General features: G+C 34.4%; 1 protein-coding gene across 33 annotated transcripts in view, besides 1 other annotated feature; it reads right to left on the bottom strand.

Annotated features, from left to right (window-relative positions):
• Window positions 1-22,719, bottom strand: part of NLGN1 (neuroligin 1) — an 898,421-nt gene that overhangs the window by 462,975 nt on the left and 412,727 nt on the right. The gene's annotated exons all lie outside the window — the stretch shown is intronic.
• Window positions 11,285-11,579: a silencer, noted in NCBI's record as "tiled region #253; HepG2 Repressive non-DNase unmatched - State 24:Quies". NCBI's record gives its function as "represses a minimal TATA promoter and a strong SV40 promoter by Sharpr-MPRA in HepG2 cells {active_cell/tissue: HepG2}" and the evidence as "EXISTENCE:reporter gene assay evidence [ECO:0000049][PMID:27701403]".

Raw genomic sequence — 22,719 nt, 5'->3', positions numbered from 1 at the left:
TCCTCATCCAAAACTTGCACTTTGAAACACACATTTCTTTAAAAGTTATTTTCCTTTTATCTTCTCTTTTATTTTGCAGATAAGAGATGTGGTTGATATATACCTTTTTCAAATGTATGTGCAGGTAGGTAATATGATACTAAACTGAATTTTTTTTTTCAGGATAGCTATGAGGGATTAAATTTGGAAGCAACCTAAGTGTCCATCAACAGATGAATGGATAAAGAAAATGTGGTACATATACACAATGGAGTACCATTCAGCCATAAAATAGAATGACATCCTGTCATTTGCAACAACATGGATGGAATTGGAGACCATGATGTTAAGTGAAAATATTATTTTTAAAGGGGGATATTGGGTTGACCAAATTGAGAGCTATAACTAGATGAAATCTGAAGCGATCTCCCTATTTTTGAAGAAGGCTAGAAGTCAAGTGTATTCTTCATTGATGTTACTCTGTGTTAGTCTCCTTGAAAATCCTGAACTTCAATCTCATGTGGAACTAAGAGTAAATAAAAATCTATATTAGAAGTACAAGGTAAACATGGACTAGTTATTCACATGATTCCTCCAGAACATTTTCTGACTGACTAACCTTTCCGGCTAGTACATATGACAGTTAATTCATCATTAGTATTATTTATGGGTGCAATGTACGTAATATATGAATAACACTAGCTTATATTATTTTGAATTCTAGAAGATTTTTTATTTTTTCCTGAATTATAAAAATTCAAATGCCACAAGAGAGATTTTTTAAAAATATATTTATGAGTTTCATTTATTGTATGGATTGGATTTCCTCAATATTTCCTGACTATAAGGTGTCATATTTTAAAAAATAATAAAGCAACCATGTGTCCCAAATAGATGGATAATGCCAATCTATTTTGTTGGAAAGGACATAGAAATGAGATTCAGATTATAAAAGCTATACATTTTCAAAAGGCCCATTTCATAAATAACTTGCCTGTTGTGCACTGCAGTGGATGCTGTTAGGCATATCAAGCCACTAACCTATTGTTTATTATAGACCCATTTTATCATTTTGATGATACAGATTCAACTATGGCAATCTTCTTTCCTCTCTCTGCTTCACTGGCTACATGACTTCCCTTGGCTAAGACCGTATCGAAACATACACTTGAATGTCATAAGTTATGACAGCCTGGGGGTTGAATGGGAATACTATTAACTGACCTATGAAATTACAGAATTATAAATCTCGATGAATACATACTGGGATGTGTGCATAGATTGCTATATTAAAAAGATATCTCTTCACATGCTCAGATAAGTTCAACTAAACATAATTTAAATGGATGAAAACATATTGATAAATCAGTTGGACACAAAGACTTCTTTTTATTCTCTCCCTCCCCCCCCCACACTACCCACTGTAATTCTATAACCTACCCAAAGTCACCGGGCAAATATTATGACCACTCAACAGGGCACGTTTGGATCAATTAGCTATTTACTGTAGGTAAGAAGGAAACATCACAGATGATTACTCAAAACCTTTTAGACATGGCTATGCTCAAGGCCACATATTAAGATGGGCTGAATATCAACTTTTGGAAGGCAAGGGGGCAGAAGAATCAGCAAAAATGTGAATGAAAGGAATTTGAGAGAACAAATCAGGTAAATTCTACCAGAGCACAGATGTTGGTCAAATGGTACAAACTTTCAGTTATAAAATGAATTAAGTTCTTGGGATCTAATGTATAGTATAGTGACTATAATTAATAATACTGTATTGTTTACTTGAAATTTGATAAGAGCAGTTTCTTTAAGTGATCTTAACACACACACACACACAAACACACACACACACACACGCACACACTCCACACATGAAATTTTAATTATGAAAGGTGATAGATGAGTTAATTAATTTGACTATGGTAATCAGTACACAATGTATATGCATGTCAAATCATCACATTGTACACATTGTATAGAATTTTTATTTATCAATTAAATATTTTAAAGGAAAAAAATCAAATCTGAAAGTCATGCATATTTGGATTTTGGATTTTTCTCTCTAGCCTGACCTCTCCTCTAACCTCTAAACTTGTGTATCTAATTATCAAATAGATAACTCCAGTTTGATACTTAATAGGCATTTCAAATTTAATCTACCCTAACTGGATGCTGTCTTGCCAAAAAGTTGTTCCTCATGCCATCTTCTCCCGCTCAGAATATGAAAGCTCCCTCTTGCAGTGACTGAGAACATAAAACTACTTCTCACTGCTTCCACGCTCACCATCCTGGTCCAAGCCTCCATCATATTGTGCCTGGATTATTGCAGTAGCCTTCCATCTGGTCTCCCTGCTTGCATTCTTGCTCTTCTCCAAACTGTTCTCAATACAGAAAGCCAAGGGACTACTGCTAGGAAGTCACTGAGGTCATGGCATTATTGCTTAAAGTTCTTCAGTGCCTTTCCAAATTAATCCCCCCCAAAAAGCAACAAATTCCTCCCAATGCCATCTCTACAACATTTGCCATTACCCTACTCTCATGGTTTATCTGATCTCATTTACAGGCCAAGTTTCTGTTTCACAACCAACCTAGTTCCTATCTCTGTTTAATTTCTTTGCTCTTACTTTTCCCCCTGCCTGAAACACTTTTCCCTCAGATATCAACATGATATATTTTCTCACATCAATCACGTCTTTACTCAAAAGCCTTCTCTGGCTACCCTACTATAATTTACCACCACTTTTCCAAATTTCCCAGCCACCTTCCATGATTTATTTTTCTCCTCAGCATCTATCACTATCAAACATACTTTGTATTTTATTTACTTATTTATTACCTGCATCGTCTCACTGGAATATGAGGTAAAAAAGGTAAAAGAGATTGTATCTTGTGTTTGCTGCTCTGTGTCCAATACCTAGATCAGTATCTAGCATAGAAGGATATTCTGTGAATATCTGTTGGATGAACACAGAAAAACTCTTATATCCTGGGACAGCTCCCACTTATCTGCCTTTATCATTTGGAAGGGGACCCGTGTTCCTGGATATATACTTCCCAGTGTTTTAGACCTCCTAGTTTGTAACAATCCACAAAAATGTTTAAGTCATGAAAAAACATTAATGGATTCACAATATAGAAAGAAATCTGCATGGTCAAATTTGATAAATGTTTAAATCAAGTGTCCACATGATGTGACAGCAACTCAAATTATGCTATTATATACATATATTATCAAGTTTAAATCACAGGAATAAAATAAATAATTTTAGCAAACCCCAAATTATGAAAATTATAAAATATCCTTTAGTTTTCTTTAAGCCAGCAGAATATTAATATGGAGTAATGGTTAATTTCATGTGTCAATGTGACTGGGCTAAGGGATGCCCAGATAGCTGGTCAAACATTATTTCCAGGTGTTGTCTGTGAGGGTGTTTTTGGAAGAGATGAGCATTGAAATCAGTATACTGAGTAAGGAAGATCTGCCCTCACCAATGTGGGCAGGTGTCATCCAGTCCTTTGAGAGTTCAGATAGAGTAAAAAGGCAGAGAAAGGCTATTTGAGCAGGAACATCTATTTTCTGCTCTTGGACATCAGTGCTCTTAATTCTTGGCCGTAAGACTCACACTGAACTACATCATCAGCTTCTCTGTCTGGTTCTCCAGCTTGCAGATGGAAAATGGTGGGACTTCTCAGCCTCCATACTTGCATTAGCCAATTTCCATAATAAATGTTATTTATCTCATTCACACACACACACACACACACACACACACACACACATATCATAAATATATATGATCCCTCATTAAGATGAGGGTCTTAAGGTGTTGTCTCTGTTTTCCATGCTTCCAAGTTCTTGGCACAGTCAAATATATGCTGATCATTGCTTTCTTATTTTCAGCTGTGCTATTGATGTGCTGCTAAATATTTTCTGCATGTACTGACCCTCCACACTTCTTGGCCAACTGACTCATCCTCATTTAAAATCCAGCTCAGGCATCCTCTCTCCGAAGAGAACAGTTTTCTCTGATCTCCTGCCCAGCCTTAAGATAACAGAAGCAATTTTGTTCCCTTAAATATCGTATGTTTATTTATATCTCTTCACTAGAATCTTTACCTCAACCTACAGACTCTACATAATCTGGATTTTCCCTACTTCTTCAAATTCATCCCTTACCTCTCTGTTCCTGATATACTATGCTCCAGTGCCACTGGCCTGTCTTCTAAAGTCTAACTAATTACAAGAGAAGAAACTTGTTTTTTTCTGACCTTTACTCCTAGAACGTTCTGTCCCCAGATCAGATCTTGGAATGTATGGCTGCTCAGGTAGTTGCATTAGTGGTCCCATTTTAGAGCATTCTTTCCTAATCACCTAATCAGAGGTAGATTTTCCAGCTTCCTCTCTGGAGATCACAATGTTTTATTTTCTTCACAGTACATATTACTTGCTGATGAAATATGTTTCTGTTTTGTTTATTTGTTTCCTATATACCTCCTCCAACCCCCATCTAAAATATAATCACTGCAAACCAGAGACCTTTTTCTGCTAAGTCAAGCCCCCATTAAAAGACCTGGCACCTCATAGGCAATGAATAAACACTTGTTCAATAGATGGGAGAATGCATTTACCAGTATAATATAAACGTTTACACATCTTTTTTGAAAACTAATCAGTAAGCTCCTTCAGGTCAGAAGCACTGCATCTCACTCCTCTTTGTATCCCCAATATCTAGCCTATGATAAATTACCTAGTTGTTTTTCAACCGAATGAATCATCATTAACACCCTCGGCAGAAGCCCGTAGTTTCAGAACACTGCAAACCAGCATTTGAAGAAAAACTATTTATAAGGAACTTCAGGATAAATCTCTGAGAAATCAGACATGAAAATTTAAGTATTCTGCTTATGATCAAATGAGTAAGGAATCATGGCTGAGGCAGTAACGCTCATGACACGATCTATGTGTTTCCTTCTATTTCCCAGTCCTGTTGCAGTTAAGTGTAGCTGTATCTCTCATTCTAGCCAATGTTATGGGTTCCTTTGGGTTGAGGCAATGAAAGGGCAATGTGGAACCCTGTGACTACTCTTTCTCTACCTCAGGAAATGAGGAGGTCAGGTATTGAGATGGCAGAGATACAAGATTAAGATCAAGGCAGTCTGAGTTACAGAAATGTCACATGGAGGACAGTTGATCAAGAGTTTTCTATATTTCCAGAGGAAACTGAGTGTGCCAGAAGTAGTTTTTGTCATTTTAAGCCACTAATATTTTGAGTTTGCTATTCCTGCAGCAGAATGTTGCCTATCATGGCTGACAGAGAAACATCCTCCTACACATACAGACACACACACACAGCTAATGCACTTTTAGTTGTTAAAAAAAACTACATTTGTTAGTTTTTTGTGTTAGTATGTCTCATAGGTGCAGGTATAAACTAGAATATGAGCCACGATTTTAATTGAGTCTTGGGTGTAACCTTGCTTGTTTCCATCTGAGCCATGACTCAGAATGAACTCTACTTTGCTCTACCACAAGACTTATTTAAAAAAACCAAAATCACAGTTAAGGATTAGGCTATCTTAGTGATCTAGAGAGAACATATCTTGTAGCAAAAGATGCCTGATTTTTCACCTGAGAAAACTCCAGCATGTTAGGATCTGATATAAAAGATCAAAATGATGAATATAGTTATTTTAATTTTACCATTTCTTAGATCTAATCCTTTCAGATGTAATTCTCATTAGTGGAAAGCAGCTTATCAACTACCATGTAAATAAAGATCAGGTTAAATAGAGGTAAGCTTCCACTAATTTCGTTGGGAACTATGTGAGCTTTGGAGAACACAATGTAAGCATCCATTATTTTCTAATAATAATTATATACTGTGGGAAAAATAGAATAAAACGAAAAACCTTAACTAACAGAATACATCTTACTAATATTAATCACTACAAAGGCTGAGCAAAGGATATAAAAATCAAAATCAATGTTGAAATTGAACAAAATGGCATATTCTCTTATCATTTTTTCCACTAAGAATTATTAAATATGCAAAAAGGTATTTCCAATTGGTCATTATTGCCATGCCACTTGAAAATAAATGGTCCAACTTTAAATTTACTTTTAAAAATAAATGAAAATTAATCATGCTCTCAACATTTCAAAAATAATTTTTGCTCAAAAGCTTTCTCAATCCCTTTCAGCAGAGTGTCATAGCCAAAAATTTAAAAAAGCATAACCTGAATTCTTATAAAGTGAATGAAAATAAGAAATATTTTTAAAATAGAAATCTTAATTTCATTTTTGTCACTTGTTCTTTGGCTGGCACAGTTTTCTGTGATTTTCTCTTGGGCACAATTTGTGAAGGTCTAAGTGGCTATTTGGGCCCACTTTAGGGCTGCCAGATTGTTGGATATCATTTTTATATACTCACAAAACTGAAAGAACCTACATGTTTCTAATCTGCTTTAGGAAAATCATGGTGTTCAACGCTAGTCAATGAAAGATATTTCTAGTTACTTCCATTAGATATATTGAAATGGCTACATACGGTTAATAAGAGGAAAATCTTCAAACCATAAATCAGTACACAACGTCACTAAATCATATTCCTATAGATACGGAGCATTTTAACTTAGATTAGTAATATTCACAATGGTTAAGTGCTTAGTCAAGGGAGACACAGCACGATCATATGAGTGTTGGAGAAAAATAGCAAAACCTGTATTTATATGCATCTTTTATAAAAGAAAAAAGAAATCTAACTTTTAAAATATACATACCCTTTCCTGGTTATGTAAGTCAAACATGTCATATAAGTGCACATGTCAATACACACATGTCATACACAGCACATGCGGTCCCCTGAGGGCAGGGAGATGTCTAGCAGCCCCTTACACCTTTGTTTACTTTTGTTGTTTTAAAGCACATTGCTTTATTTAATTTTTTAAAAACAACAATAAACAAGGGCATAATTGATTACATGCACCTAGTTAAGTGAATTTAGTGTCTATGTTATTCAATTTTAATAAAACTAGCATTTGCATGGAGCAAGTGGTTCAAAGGATTTTTGCAAATAAACCACAGATTGAAGATTGTACAAGTACCAATGAGTCACATAAAATGGCAAAGCTGACATTTTTTTCCTTTTGGCTGTAAGAATGAGCTTTTAGCCAACCACATTACAAGGTAGAAACCATGACAATTTAATCCTATTTTACAAGTATTCAGCTCTCAGAATTATCCATAAGACTATTATGTGGATTTAAATATACTGTGATTAACAATGAACTGCTCCTTAAATGTGTTATTGTACTTTTGTGTCTTTGTGAATCATCTCTTTCAGCTGTAACAGCCATTAAAACCAAACATTAAACTGATCTTAGAAACACTCTTCCAAACCTCTGGAAAACAAAATGTAAAAGGAATATCTTAAAAATAACGAAGTGTTTTCCTAACACAGAGCATTAAAAAAGATTTGTTTTTTTTTTTTAAATTAACAAGAAAATAACATTATTTTAAAATACTCATTAATCTTCAAAATTTCTATTATTTTATAGCATACATAATATATTCATATCATGTACATGTATATAATTTATAAATACTTCCATGAATTGAGGGTTCTTGTTGCAAATATTTCTCCCAACAGGTGTGTATAATTAAAAACTTTATTTACAACAATGTAGAACTGTGTGTTGTCTGACCTGGTAACCAATAGCCACATGTGACTATTGAGTACTTGAAATGTGGCTCATGTTACTGTGTTACTGCATTTTTTTACTTTATTTAATTTTAGTTGATTTAATTTTTTTTAAATGAAGCAGCGCCAAACAGTGTTTTCTGTTATGCACAACTGTATTGTTTAGTGGGACTACTACATGTGCTGTTGAAGATTTAGCATGTGAATTGAGATGTTTTGTAAGTACAATATAAAGTACATAGCATATTTCAAAGAATAAAAAATTCAGAGTACCCTGGTAATAAATTTATGTTGACTTCATTTAGAAATGATAATATTTTGGATATATTAGTTTGAACGAAATAAAGATTTAAAACTAATTTTATCTATTTTTTCTTACTTTTCTCTAACATGGTTACTGTAAAATTTCAAATTATGTATGTGTATTGCAGTATATTTCTGTTAGACAGCACCGATCCAAAAGTAGTAGGTGGTGGATAGAGAGATTTATATAAGAAACATTTAAAAGAACAGACTCACAACTTATGACAGATTCAAGTTTAGACTAATAGACCAATTTTTAATCTATAGAAGTTGTATATATAGGTACACTTAAAAATTATATGCGAATATCTTTAATTGGGATTTGTTGATCTTGATGCAACTAGGAATTTCCACTGACATCTACTGTATGCCACTTGAGTCATATAGAACAGTCTTAGAGAATTAACTGACATGGTATTAAATTGAAGTTACTCAATTTTAATTCTATTTCCAAAAAATAGCAGGTTTTTAAAAACTATTATATAAAGACTGTAACAGAAGCATTGTACAAAAAAAGAAAAAAAGGGACAATATAGCAAGTAGATCTTTTTTAAGAGAATAAGAGAAAACAAAAATTTGGCTTTCTTAATTATATGGTATCATTTTAAAAAAGAAAAATAAGTCAATTATCTCTCCTTCTTAAAGATAGCTGATGAACTTGGCAAGCCACAGAGAAGCTCTTTTTTATTCAAACCCATTGATTCAGATTTCCTATATTAACGGATCAGAAAAGTGAAATATAGCTTGAGTAACAGTTAGCCAGAATGCTTGGGGATCAGAATTGTTTTAAATGTCAGATTTCTTTGGATTTTGGAATATTTGCATATACATAATAAGGATCTAATTCTAAAGACAAAATTTGTATCATATACACCTTATACACATAGCCAGAAGGTAATTTTAAACACTCAGATTTTCGAGCATTTCAGATATTAGATTTTTGGATTAGAAATGTTCAACCTATAATCAGTAGTTTTCTCATGCAAAACAATATTCAATTAGAACATTTACCTATGGAATACCCACATACACAGAAATCATTATTACTTATTAATCACCCCTGCTGGGTCTTTTGGCCATTGGAATCCCCGAGCAGTTCCACTTGGATGCTGACTCTGAATAGGTAGAGAAAAGCTAATGCATGGAGTAGATGGTTACAACTAAACAGAGTACATGGAAGTACGGATCGTAAATAAAATTAAACTACACAGTTTTGGCTTATTTCTATTTAAAAGCATTTTTATCATAGAATTCTGTTTTTGTTAACTGTCCCCAACATATAAAGTCCCACAGGAGAAATTTCTTTTGCAGAGCTTAGTGCCTAGAATAACTTTGATTTCTCTGAAGACTTGTCATGTTTCACAACCTTCTGATATTAAAAAATGAATAAAACCTGGCAGAGTTTCAATTCATCAACTTGGAAAATATTTTGAGAATTATTTGCCTTTTCAAGTCTTCTGTTTTCCCTAAACCTGATTTATTATGTATATCTCAACATAATGTTATTGTATATGCTCTCACAAATACTTTCTAGCACAAGGAAGGGTAAAAATAGGTAAATGAATTATTTATTTAATTACTTTCCTAAATAACAAGATTGTATGAATTATAGTAAAATATCGCTAAGGGACTATGTAGATTTTTCTCATATAGATGCAGATCAACTTGGAATCAGGGAAAAAGTTATATATGTCTGATCTGTGGTCTCTGTAAACATGTTCTTCCAAAAAATAAATCCAAATATGAATTGTAGACTATAAATTGCTTTAGTAAATAGTACAGATTGATACTAAAACAGAAGAGCCAAATATATTCACTAAAATCCCAATTTCTTGTTACTTAAAGCAGATAAAATTGTGGTATATTTTAAGGAAAAACACTATCTACTGAAGCAATTGTTTTATTTGTATTAAAAAAGAATAAAGAGTATTTCTTAAAGCTTATTTTCATACAAAGTCAAAAACATAAAGAATTCTAGCATAATTAAATAACATAGGAATAAACTCATCTCTTATTCCTGTCAGAAAATTGCTCCTAATTATGGTGATATTACCACAAAGAATGTTTTTAATAACTTACTTCTGTTTGAGCATGTTGCATATTCTCTGAGAGAACTGACTTCTCCAGTAAAGATGGCTTTTTTCAAAGCTCAGATGCAAGAAGCTAGCAAATACTAGAACAGAAATTAGTATTTCTCTTAGATATGTTTCATCTCAGGGATATGCCTCACCTCTTAAAAAGGTTTGTAAATGGTGAAATTACCAATACATAAATCAGTCGAGAAATGTCATTTGTTCCATATTTGGGGAAAAATTTTAGAATATAATTAAATCTATGGTCCTGACTACACTGTTATAAAAGATGAGTGGGTGTGAGGGTAATCAGGGATTGGTTTAAGATTGCACCCAAATCTCTATTTGTGATAATGGTTGTGCACCTGTAATTCAATTCAAGATAGATGAAGTATCAAAAGGCAAAGTTAAACTACAAACAATTTCCTTTTATTTCTTATCTTTACAAATGAACAACATTAAGCTGAGCCTCAAAAAGTTACAGGTTCCAAAGCCTATTATCTATATAAAGTGAATAGTTATCCTTCTGCAATATCGTATGTACAGCAGTCTTCCCTCACTCACAGTTTTACTCTCCGGTTACCTCTGGTCAACCATGGTCCGAAAATAGGTAAATATCTTACAGTAGAGTAGGATATTTTCAGACAAAGACTAGATTTACATAACTGTTATTTCAGTATATTGTTTTAATTGCTCTGTTTTATTATTATTTTTGTTAATAAAGTACTGTGCCTAATTTATAAATTAAACTTTATCATAGGTACATATGCATAGAGAAGTAGTTTACTTAAGGTTCTGTACTATCCACAGTTATAGAGAGTCACTGAGCGTTTTGAAACATATCCCTTGTGGATAAGGGGGGATTACTGCATTTTAATTCAAAAAGTAGCATTTCAACACTATTTTCATGTTTATCTAATGCTTATGAGCACCAACGCTTTCACTTACCTCATGCTGAGCAGGAACCAGAAGAATGCAAATAATATGGGAAATGTAGAAATAGCTATTTTCAATTTAAAATAAATTGCAGCTTTCATGCATTATAGTCTCAGAACAAGGAATACTTCTCTAGAAAATCCAGGAGACTTTCTTGCCACTGGTATTGAGGTAAAGGATTGCTACTCTTTCTCGTTTTTTTTTTTTTTTTTTTTTTTTCGAGACTGAATCTCGCTCTCTCTCCCAGGCTGGAGTGCAGTGGCGCCATCTCCGCTCACTGCAAGCTCCGCCTCCCGGGTTCGCGCCATTCTCCTGCCTCAGCCTACCGAGTAGCTGGGACTACAGGCGCAGCCACCACGCCCAGCTAATTTTTCAGTAGAGACGGGGTTTCACCGTGTTAGCCAGGATAAGGCCTCACCTCATGTATTTGGGACTTGAAAGGAAGCCTGTGCAAGCACATGGTTAATACAATTTATTACCCACATTCCATACCACCAGCCACTCTTTCTACCTGCTCTGTATTCCTAGAAATGCATATCCTGAGAAGGGCACACAGTGAATTCATTTCTATATTTATTGATGACTTTTGATTACGTATGCAGAGCAGTCTGTTGTCTTAATAAAATTGGAAAACCAGATATTTTTTAATTTGGGTGGTGAGTCATCTACCATATTAAGCAGTTAATATACATAACCATAACAAGTAGGATTGGTATTATGCATACCAAAGTAGAGACTAAGCTGCTTATGCCACGGAAGCAGAGAGAAGAGAGGGATGAATGAAGCCCAAAGAATTGAAGGGAGAAAGATAATAGAGCTACAACGATTGAGAAAGATGGGTATTTGTGGCAGGTCAGCTGTTGGAAAGGATCGTCCTAGGCAGTGAGGAGTCTAGCATGGCCTGCCTGAAAAGGCTTCCTCAGAAACCAATAGAAGGTAAAGTTTGACAAGAAGAAGAGCAAAGTAATTCAGCAGATCTGGAATGACAGGAAAACTGTGGAATGGATCCGAGAGTCAGTGAGAACCGTTTAGAGATGTGGAGCAGAGGAAAAGCTAAAGAAAACTGGTGCTCTTGGATTAAAGTAATTTGCCTGGTTGTGGTGTGGGATGCAATTGGCATATGAATTTAGGTCTAGAGGATGAGGGGTCAGCCAAAAACCCACTTGGTAACCCAAGGTGAGTAGGTAGTAGCAATGGGAATAGAAAGAAGAAAACTAACATAAGCTGATTTAAAAAATGAACTCTGCAAATTAAAACTAAAAAGACAAAGGAAAAGGAGCAGTATCCATATGTTTACAGAGTAAGTAGTTCAAGGAAAGACTTTAGAAATCCCTTTCTAAAGGATTTTAGAAAGAATAAACAAGATGTCTTGGCATATGAAATTGCACTATATTTTAAAGGCAAATCAGTAAAAGTGGGCAGAACATCAAAGATCATGACACCAGGTCATGGGAAAGTAAGGGAGTACTCCCTTAGTTCCTTACTGGAAAAAAAAAAAAAAAAGAACTATTCAAAGGCAGAACAAAATTAAAAAGCAAAATCCAAGCCCTCATTGTCTTTTTGTAACAGAGAGAAAAAACTGACCCTGGCTGAAGAAAAGACCCATATCTTTGTTGTTAAAAAGTCAGTAATGCAGCTAATTTATTACACTTCATGACTTTTCTCAGAGTTATAGGCAGGTGAAGAAGAGAACGTTTTATTTTCTCTGCAAAGTTCCAAGGTTACCCGTCCATTCCACAGATCAAATATCTACCTAAGGGCTAGTCACTCTCCTGGGATATTTTCCCTGTGTATTTTCTATTTTACAAACCAGTTTTGCTCATTTAATTCAGATAGAGAACTTTGCCTGGTTGGTTGTGGGTGGTCTGTTTGTTTGTCTGGATTTTGCATTTTTCCACAGTTGCTTTTTTAAACGATTTGTTCTGCTTCTAATTATTTTACAGCTTTAAAATTATTTCAAAATATTTTATCTGTCTTACAAAATATTTAATTTTGTAAATGCATGCAGGAAAAACTCATAAAACTGTGCTGAAACCCTCAGTCTACATTTCAAAAAAATTCATTTTTGTAGCACATCGTTCTTTTGGAAATACAACTTATCAAAATTTGTATTAATGTTTTGTTTATTTGTTTAATGTCATTCAATGTTTTGTTCATTTGTTTAATGTCATTTTTTCTCACTCACTCTGAGGTCCAGAGAGGAAGGATTGAGGCTGACTTTTTTAACATTGTAAACACCAATAATTAGAAGGCTATAGTGGCTGCTTAATAAATATTTGTGGAATTAATGAAAGAATAAATGAATGAATGAGTTAAAAGGATGACTTCTGCTCTGAAAGAAAGCTAAATATATTTTTGTTTATTGTTTAGTTAGTTGTAGTCCTATCAATACCTGGAAATGGTTGTTGAATTCTAGTCCTAGAAGAATGCTTTAACTAGCAATGAGGGAAATTTTGATACTATGTTCTGTAGTCTTATTCCAAATCACTGATCTTAACAACTTGAGAAAATCACAAACCACATTTTCTCAAATTCCTCCCAGAATTTGCCCAAAGACTATTAAGACAATAATTAAAAATAATAAGATATCCTTTTTAGGACAACTCAAAACTTAAATGAAGCCATATTAATACCATAGAAACATTAAGAAATAAGGAGGCATCATGATTACATGATTACTATATTATAGATTACTATATTATAATCTCTCATATTTGCCAGTCTCTGAAATATAACTCATATTGATTCTCACTCCTTCAAAGCAGGCATTCAGAAGAACTCTTCACAATGCTGGTTTGATTGACTCCATTATCAAAATAAAGGAAGAAAAACTGCCAAAATCTGTGTTGCTCTTTGTGTAAAAAATAGATTCTTATACTTACCTGAGTGAGTCCAGCCTCAGCAGGTCCCTCAATCTTCTATGAGCAAAATATCTGCCTCATCCATTGACTACCAACCGTCTCACTTTAACGAGGTATTAGCCGTGCTTTTTGTATCCACAGCAGAATGTCAACTTTGATCAAGGTCTAGGCCTACCAAAACATTTTTTAAATGCAGATCTAATCATGTCACTTACCTGCTCAGTGTCTTATAACTGTTTCTGATTGTTCATAGAAATCCTAAATCTTTAACAAGGTGCTGCACAGCCTGCTGCCTATGTTTTTAACCTTATTTAACACTGAGCATTCCAGCTGAGTTTGCTGAGCTCTGTTAGCATGCAAAACCGTTTCCTTCCTCTGGTTTTCACCCAGACCCTCTTTTCTGCCCACAGCTCTGCCTTCTCCGCTTTATGACCACATCTGATCAACACCTATTGACCCTTGAGATCCAGTTTAAATTCATTAACAAATATTTTCTGATAAAATATCCTTTGCCAGAAACTATTTTGGGCTTTGTGGAGCTAGACAATAACAAAATGAACAATACCAATATAAACAGAAGATAATCAGGGATGATAACTGTAATGCAGTAATGCAGACAATTTTAAAAGGGAGATGGCACGAAGTGATGGCTCTTGTTAGATTGGATGAACATGGATGATCTCCCTGAGAAGATGACATTTAAACCAAATCAGAATGATAAAGAACTGGCCCCACAAAGATCTGGGGTAGAGGAAACACCAGGCATATAATGCCTAAAATGGGAGAAAGTTTGATGTCTATGAAGTATAAATGACCACTGGAACAGAGAGGAAGAGTGTTTTGAGATGAGCTAAGAAATGCAGGCCAGGACCACTTCATGAGGGCTTTTGCCAGACAAGGCAGGGATGAAGTTTGAATTTTATGCTACATGAATAATGGAAAGCCACTAGAGTGGGTTAAGCAGAGAAGTGAGCTGTTATAATGCAGGTTTTTAAAAGATAATTTCGCTGATTTAAATCTAGCGTTTTAGAAAACCTAGGAAAATAAAGAGTTTTTACTTGATCATCCAGATGGATAAGGCAATGACATCAGTACAGTGTTGCTTTAAGAGAGGTTAGAATCCTGGTTCCACCACTGAATGCTATTTAGCCTGTGTGACTGTAAATACATTAGTTAGCCTCTCTACTCACTTGTTTCTGCATTTATGAAATCTGGAAACTAACAATGCTACCTCATAGAGTTGTGAGAATGTAATAATGCAATCTATGTAAATTGCTTAAAACAAATTTTGGAATATAAGTCTTCAATGAATGTGGCCACCATTACTATTGCTCTTGTTGCAATGATTATTAGGTTATTATTGACTTCTACAACTAGGCTATAATCTTATAATAATTATAATTATAGTATTTGACAATTATAATTAGATATAGATTTAATTATAACTATTATTAAAAATTTAAATATATAATTACAGTATTTCATTACTGACTATATTATATTTATAATTTTGTAAATATATTTAATTAACTATTATAATTAATTATTATAATATAATTTAAGGATTTTCACAATATCCTTAATAACTAAAAGAATGACATAATAATATTATAACTTAGTTGTAGAAGTCAATAAGAAAAGGAGGCCTGAGAAATTCAACATATTTCAGCCATGTTAAGTTTAAGATATTCATTAAACATCTACATGGAAGGGTTGGTACACAGAAGTATATGAAAGGCTGGAGTTCTGAGGAAGGGTTAGTCTTGAAGACATGGTTTTGAAAAGTCACTTCCATAGAGATGGCATTTGGTAATGCACAGGGTTCTTTAAGGCGTATCATAGAGAGAGAAGGATAGAGAGCCAAGGATTATGCTTAATTGCACAACATTTAGAGGTCAGGGTAGGAGAGTAGGAGTCAGCAAAGGAGACTGAGACGAAGCAGTCAGGGAGGTAGGAGGAAAATCCTGGGTGATACCACGAAACAAGCAGGCCAAAAAAGGAATGGTTAACTGTGTCCTGTGCTAGGAAGTGATCATACAAGATAAAAACAGAGAAGTGACTAATGAAGTTGGCAATCTAGAGGTCTTTGGGAATCTTGACAAGGGTTTTCTCAGTAGAGTATAAGAAATGGGGCTGGGTGCGGTGGCTCATGCCTGTAATCCCAGCACTTTGGGAGGCTGAGGCCTGCAGATCACGAGGTCAGGAGATTGAGACCATCCTTGCTAACACGGTGAAGCCCCATCTCTACTAAAAATACAAAAAATTAGCCGGGTGTGGTGGCAGGCGCCTGTAGTACCTACTTGGGAGGCTGAGTCAGGAGAATTGCTTGAACCTGGGAGGCGGAGGTTGCAGTGAGCCACTGCACTCCAGCCTGGGTGACAGAGGGAGACTCCATCTTAAAAAAAAAAAAGAAAAAGGAAGGAATGAAGGAAGGCAGGAAGGAAGGAAGGAAAGAAGGAACGAAGGAAAGAAGGAAGGAGAGAAAGAAAAAGAAAGAAAGGGAAAAGAAAGGGAAAGGAAAGAAAAGAAAAGAGAAGAGAAAAGAAAAGAAAAGAAAAAAAGAAATGGAAACTTGAATGTTACCTCCTCAGGGAAACTGCTCTGTGTTTCTAAAATAAAGTAGCTCCCTTCTCATTGCACTATTTCTCTAGAATTTATATAGGTAATTGCTAAGAAAATTAACTTTGCATTCAATCGTTATCTATGTAAACTATATGATTTGTTTAATTATTTATTTTCTACCTTCCCTAAAGCTAACAATCTACTGATAGCAAGGTTCACATATATCTTATTTTTCACAATATACTTAATAGCTAAGAGAATGACATACATAATATTGCTCAATTTATAGAGAATAAGGGAATAAATGGCTGAACGAATACATGAATGAATTACCTAACACACACCATTTTACTTCTTTTAACTAACATCCACAATAATTGACACACTTACTTTCAGATTGTTTCTGTTTTGGGAATAAATAAATAGTTGCTTTTACTGCGGGCCACTTGAAACCATTTTGGAGGGAGTAAGGGAATAAAAATAATGAGCAGTCAACTTTGCAAAATATCATTACCTATCTAAAGTTGTCCCCTGCACCTGTCGCCACAGGACAAATAGTTTCTCTATTCCAGGAGCTCATTTTAGTACTCAATCTAAAATTGATTACCATCTAGCCCTTATTAAAACCCAGTTGACATAACATATTTGAGAGAAGAAATCTATGGATCAAATAAACCATCCATTGCTCTAAATTGTATTTTAGCTCTATCCTATTATAAGTGAAATCACCAAATATCTTACCCAGATTGCCTTTGGTTAGCTCTTTGCTAAAATGATATTATAGAAGTTATGAGCACTTATGAAGTTATGACACTATGGGGTGCCCCTGTGGGCGAGACACGCACCCTGGGTGAAAGCCACAGACCCCACGAACCCTGCGGGCCCAGCTCAGGGGCTGCTGGGAAGTCACGGTCGTCCGTGGGAGGACACAGGCCTAGCCCTCGGCCTCGCCGCTTTTGTTCCCCAGCTGCCTTTATTATGTCTTTGGTTTTTACAGAAGGTTACTATAAATAATCATATACTGAGAATATTTTTGCATCTTATAATGACACGAAGACTATCACACAATTCCTGTATTGTCACGTTTCAAATAGAAGAAATACAACCCATATGATAAATTCTTCTGTAGTACAATGTAAGAGAAACTATTATTTGCGTATTTTTTTCTGGTGAATATGTTTGTTTCCTTTTTGTGATTATGATAATTATGAAATTAAATCCATTATATTTTACTGTGCTTCTAGAAAACTAGGAAATGCATCTGTGTTCAACTGTTGTACATATTCATGACCTAACTTTCTGTATCCTTTTCTCTGTATTACTATTCAAATATGATTTTACCAATCTATTTATTTGTGTGCATTGTCACAAATTACTTCCACTTTTTCAAATTAGTATGAATAAATGAAAATAGAAATAAAGACTGTCTTTCTCCCTTTCCTTCAATTAATACCAAGGATACTCCACTCTTTGTGGCCTTCCTCCGGTACCACCATTTCCATGAAAACAGTCTGGACTCTATAGACACACTGACTCTTTTTCTTTCTACATCTCAAGAACGCATTTGGATGTGTTGTAGAATATTACAATCGCATAAAATTTAACATTTGTTTAAATATTACTCTTAAATATATGATCCCACTTGAAGTTTTTTGTTTATTTGTTTTGGAGTATGAGACTTTTGTTTTTTGGGGGTTCTTTGAAAGAGTCAGACAGAAACAAAAACAATTCAATAAACAGGAGTAACAATGACAAAACATTGTACCACTTGAGGAATTAATATGCTTTGCTCTTTAAATCATGATCAATGCACAGGCTTTAGCAAATTTCCTTGATCCTAGGCCAATCAGTTTCAAATATAAATATCAATTACTATATCCTTACTAATCCATCAGATATTCTACCTTTCCTTACTTTTCTCTCGTTCTGTTTTCCTTTTATATATCAAGTGAATCTATTCATATAGATCAATTAATAAATCAATATATTATAAATATAAAGTAGAATATCAATTATTATTCTCTACTGTTTTTCTCCTCAACTATAGTGAAAGCTCTTTTTTAAAGATAAAAACTATACTGTCCTCACTTTTATCCCTCAGAAAAGGTGTATAATGCTGAAAACAAGTGTTACTGATTTGATGACTGACCACACCAAAGTTTTATATATATATATATAAAAATACATATATATATACACACACATATATATATATACACGCACACACATATATAGTATGTGTGTGCGTGTATATACACACAACCTTTTTAAGACAAGATCTCACTCTGTCACCCAGGCTGGAGTGCAGTTGTAGGATCACAGACGCAACTGATCCTTCCGCCTCAGCCTCCTGGGTAGCCCGGAATACAAGCATGTGCCACCACACCTGGCTAATTTTTTGAAAATTTTTTGTAGAGACACAATCTCACCATTTTGCCCAGACTTGTCTTGAACTCCTGGGCTCAAGTGATCCTATTGCCTCAGCCTCCCAAAGTGCTGAGATTACAGGCATGCACCACCACGCCTGGCCTAAAGTTATACTTATTGTTGCCATTTATCTAATAATACTTGAAGCATTATTATGGCATAGATAGTCTAATTTTAAGAATCAAAAAATTTCATTAACCATATCTAATAGAATAAAAATAAATTAAGGTGTTCATTAAATGTATATGCAGTGAAGTTAACAAAAGCTTGTTTTAAACAATTTAGCCCCACATAGAATTATAAAGTAAGCTAAATCTAATTGTTTAAATATAAGTAGGTGAGCTAGCACTTTAAATTATTTTTTTCCATGGACGGGTGGTGTAAATATTCAATTACCAAGTAAAATATTTAATTAGATCCTTTTCCAAAAATGTGCCAAATGTCCAGATAGATATCAGTACTTCTAAAATATTTAAACTTTTTTTCTAAAATAAATCACATGTGCTAGAATTATGAATTGCATAATTGCCTCCAAGATATTTATGTCAAGATAAAGGTAACTGATTAAATTTCCACCAGATTAAAATCTCGTTTGCCCAAGTAAGATCCTCACAGGGGTATTAAAATTTTTCTTTTACTCCAAAAGTAATTTAAAGATTTATTCTGAATTTAAATAAGTGGTTGGAACATTTTAATGATAAATTACTTAACATGTTTTTCATGTTTGACATTTGTCAATATCACTTAAATAATTTCTATTTTAAAAAATGTTTTGTGGACATCTCATCTAATAGTGACTTATTTTATATTCTCTTTCAATTCTTATCTTATATATTCTATAATTCTTGTCCATAAGAACATGTTTACCCTAGTTACAATCAGAACATTTAAGTTTGATTATTTCCCCCCTTTAAGAACACATCAAGTATTTATCCCTGCATTTCTTTTCTCTTCTTTTCTTCCTTTTTTTTTTTTTTTTTTTGAGACGGAGTTCACTCTTGTCACCCAGGCTAGAGTGTAATGGCGCAATCTCAGCTCACTGCAACCTCTGCCTCCCAGGTTCAAGTGATGCTTCTCCTGCCTCAGGCTCCCGAGTAGCTGTGATTACAGGCACCCACCACCACGCCAAGCTGATTTTTGCATTTTTACTAGAGACAGGGTTTCACCATGTTGGCCAGGCTGGTCTTGAACTCCTGGCCTCAGGCCATCCACCCACCTTGGCCTCCCAAGGTGCTGGGATTACAGGTGTGAGCCATCACACCTGGCCATTTCTCCCTACATTTCTAAGATGATTATAAACCATACAATAGAATGTTTAAAAAATACCCTACTAACAATAATTTTAAACATATATAAGGACTATGTAACAATATATCAAATAATAGATGCTGAAGAAAGCAAATATGGAAAGTTTATGTCAAAACTGGCTGAGGACAAAGAATGTGTAAAGTCAAAAGTGAAAGAAAAGTTAAATATTTAGTGTATAAGAAGTGTGAAACTAAATGGCAGGAGGTCGCCAGGAGCTCTAACATGAAACTGGGGAGTGAGGTTAGTAGGCAGAGTCCTGCATTCCCTTCCCTCTTTGTCAATCTTATTGGCAGTTTTTCCTATCACTTCCAATAGCATTTCCAGGGTGGGGGAAAATCATACACCACACAGTAAGAGTGATATTCTGTGTTACCACTGGAAAGGAAACCACTAAAGGGTGTCGGTAGAAGAACTAATTCTGACCTGTTACTAGCTTCTTCTGAGGAATGGTAGAGGTATTTTTTTCTTCTATTCTATTCCTACTTTGTAATAAACAAATTTTTTTTAACATGAGATCTTTAAACTGAAAAATTGGCAGCTAGATAGCTGTACGAATTTTCTAATTAAAACATTATCACATCTCTATTCATCACTAAAATCAAAGAGCAAAAAACAAAACTTGTAAGATTCCCCACCACCTCCACATGGCAAGTTCAAATCAACACAGATTGCACTACCTGTTCCAGACATCCTGATTGTTCCAACCAGTCGCCTCAAATCAATGATCTTGTAATTACCCAGTTTGTCCATTGGACCCCCAAATCTATTTCTTTCACACCAAAATACCCCAGTGAAAACACAGCTCAGGATTTCCTCGGATGTGGGATCATATCTTATTTCCTACTTAATCACTCAAGTGCAAATTAGACAGCCATAGTCTTGGATCCCACACCCAAGAAACCTTGGCTTACCTTTTTACTGTTAGACAAACTATTCACAACATCAATCTCAAAAGTCTACAGTCTTTATTGTTGCAGTTCTGTCCGATGAGCTGTTGATCTTGCTGTGGTGCGGCACTCATGCAAAGTATGCTGAAACAAATGTTCTGATAATTTCTTTTTTATGAATTAATTTATTTAAATACATTTTCACAATACCCAACACATATTTTTGGAAAAAAGTGACCAGAATACCTCTGTTCGAGAACCAATGTCTTAAAGTCTACCTAAACAATGTTTCACAGAGTTTATGTTTTGTCACGTTGAGAGGAGGCCTATCAAGGACAGCCTTTGGCTTGTTATCAGTGTATAATGTGTTTAAGAGAAATAAAGGAGAGGAGACAACTAAATGTTATATTCTAGGGTACAGTAGAGCCAGAACAAATATTTAACACTGGGAAATCATACTTTGATAATATCAATACTGTCTGCTCTCTGCTACTATCTAAACCAAGTGATTGACTGAGTGCTTTATATTTTAGCGAGTTAATCCATTGCCTTGCAATCCAATCCTCACAGTGCGGCATTTAAAATGGGGTATGGGCATGAATATAGGATTAAAATCAGGTCAAAGTCAAGTCCTCATCAGTTCTGAACACATAAAAAGAAAAAGAATGGGTAAAGTTTTTGTTAACATAACAACAAAGTTTATGTTATGAAATCTTGCTTTATATAAACAGAACCAATAACAGAAAGAGGCAAAAAAACTTGTGGCCAAAGCATTTCTTAAATAAAATAGATAAATATGAATAACTGGATGTTCAAGTCCTTAAAAACACTGTTACCATAATTTAGCATTTCAATTTAAAGTTTCATCTGGCAAACTGGCCACTGCTCAGGATTTTCAACTTAAAAATTAGAAAAATATAAGAATAATAATCAGCAAAAACAACTGAGCTCTCAACAATACTACCATTAAGATTCAATGCATGAAAATATTAAAAACCCTCCTTCCAATGAAAATGTTCCATAGGAAACAAATGACAACATTAAGATTTAAGAATTCAAGGTTTAAGATTCAAGAATTATTATGAGCAATTATTTATATGTCTTAAATACACAGAGTTTTCACTGGTGGAAAGACACTCATCCCAGCCCACAGAAATCATATGAATGTTTGAAGCAATGGATGATTAGACACTATGGAGGAACTCATGTGTATTCGATCAGTGCTACAGAATATTTTATACCTACACTTACGCAGTGCATCTATGGTCATTCACCACACTCCAAATTTCAAAAAAGCAAACTAGAAAATGACTGAGACTTAACCTTCACATTGGTAAAATGTCTCCTTCCCCCAGACTATAAACTTGATTCACAAAAATTATTCTACCTTTTAAAATATTTTGTGATAAGCATAAACACAGAATTATGATTACATAGGAGTTACAATAACACTGAAGGGGAAAAATTCTGATTCTCAACGTGGATAAAAGATATGATACTACCAAGGAAGGAATATAATACAAATTCCTTTTTCAGAATCTTTTAGATAATAGAATGAAAGAGTGAGGCGCTTCTTTGTGTATAAACAAAATTATAATTTACGCTTCTTCAAGTCTATAGTATGGGATAAGACTTGGAGGACAATTAAGATTAAAAAGTTAAGTATTTTGTGGAT

This window comes from Homo sapiens, chromosome 3, assembly GCF_000001405.40.
Source record: "Homo sapiens chromosome 3, GRCh38.p14 Primary Assembly".
In the NCBI taxonomy this organism is placed as follows: domain Eukaryota; kingdom Metazoa; phylum Chordata; class Mammalia; order Primates; family Hominidae; genus Homo; species Homo sapiens.
This window is presented reverse-complemented; position numbering and strand designations above follow the sequence as displayed.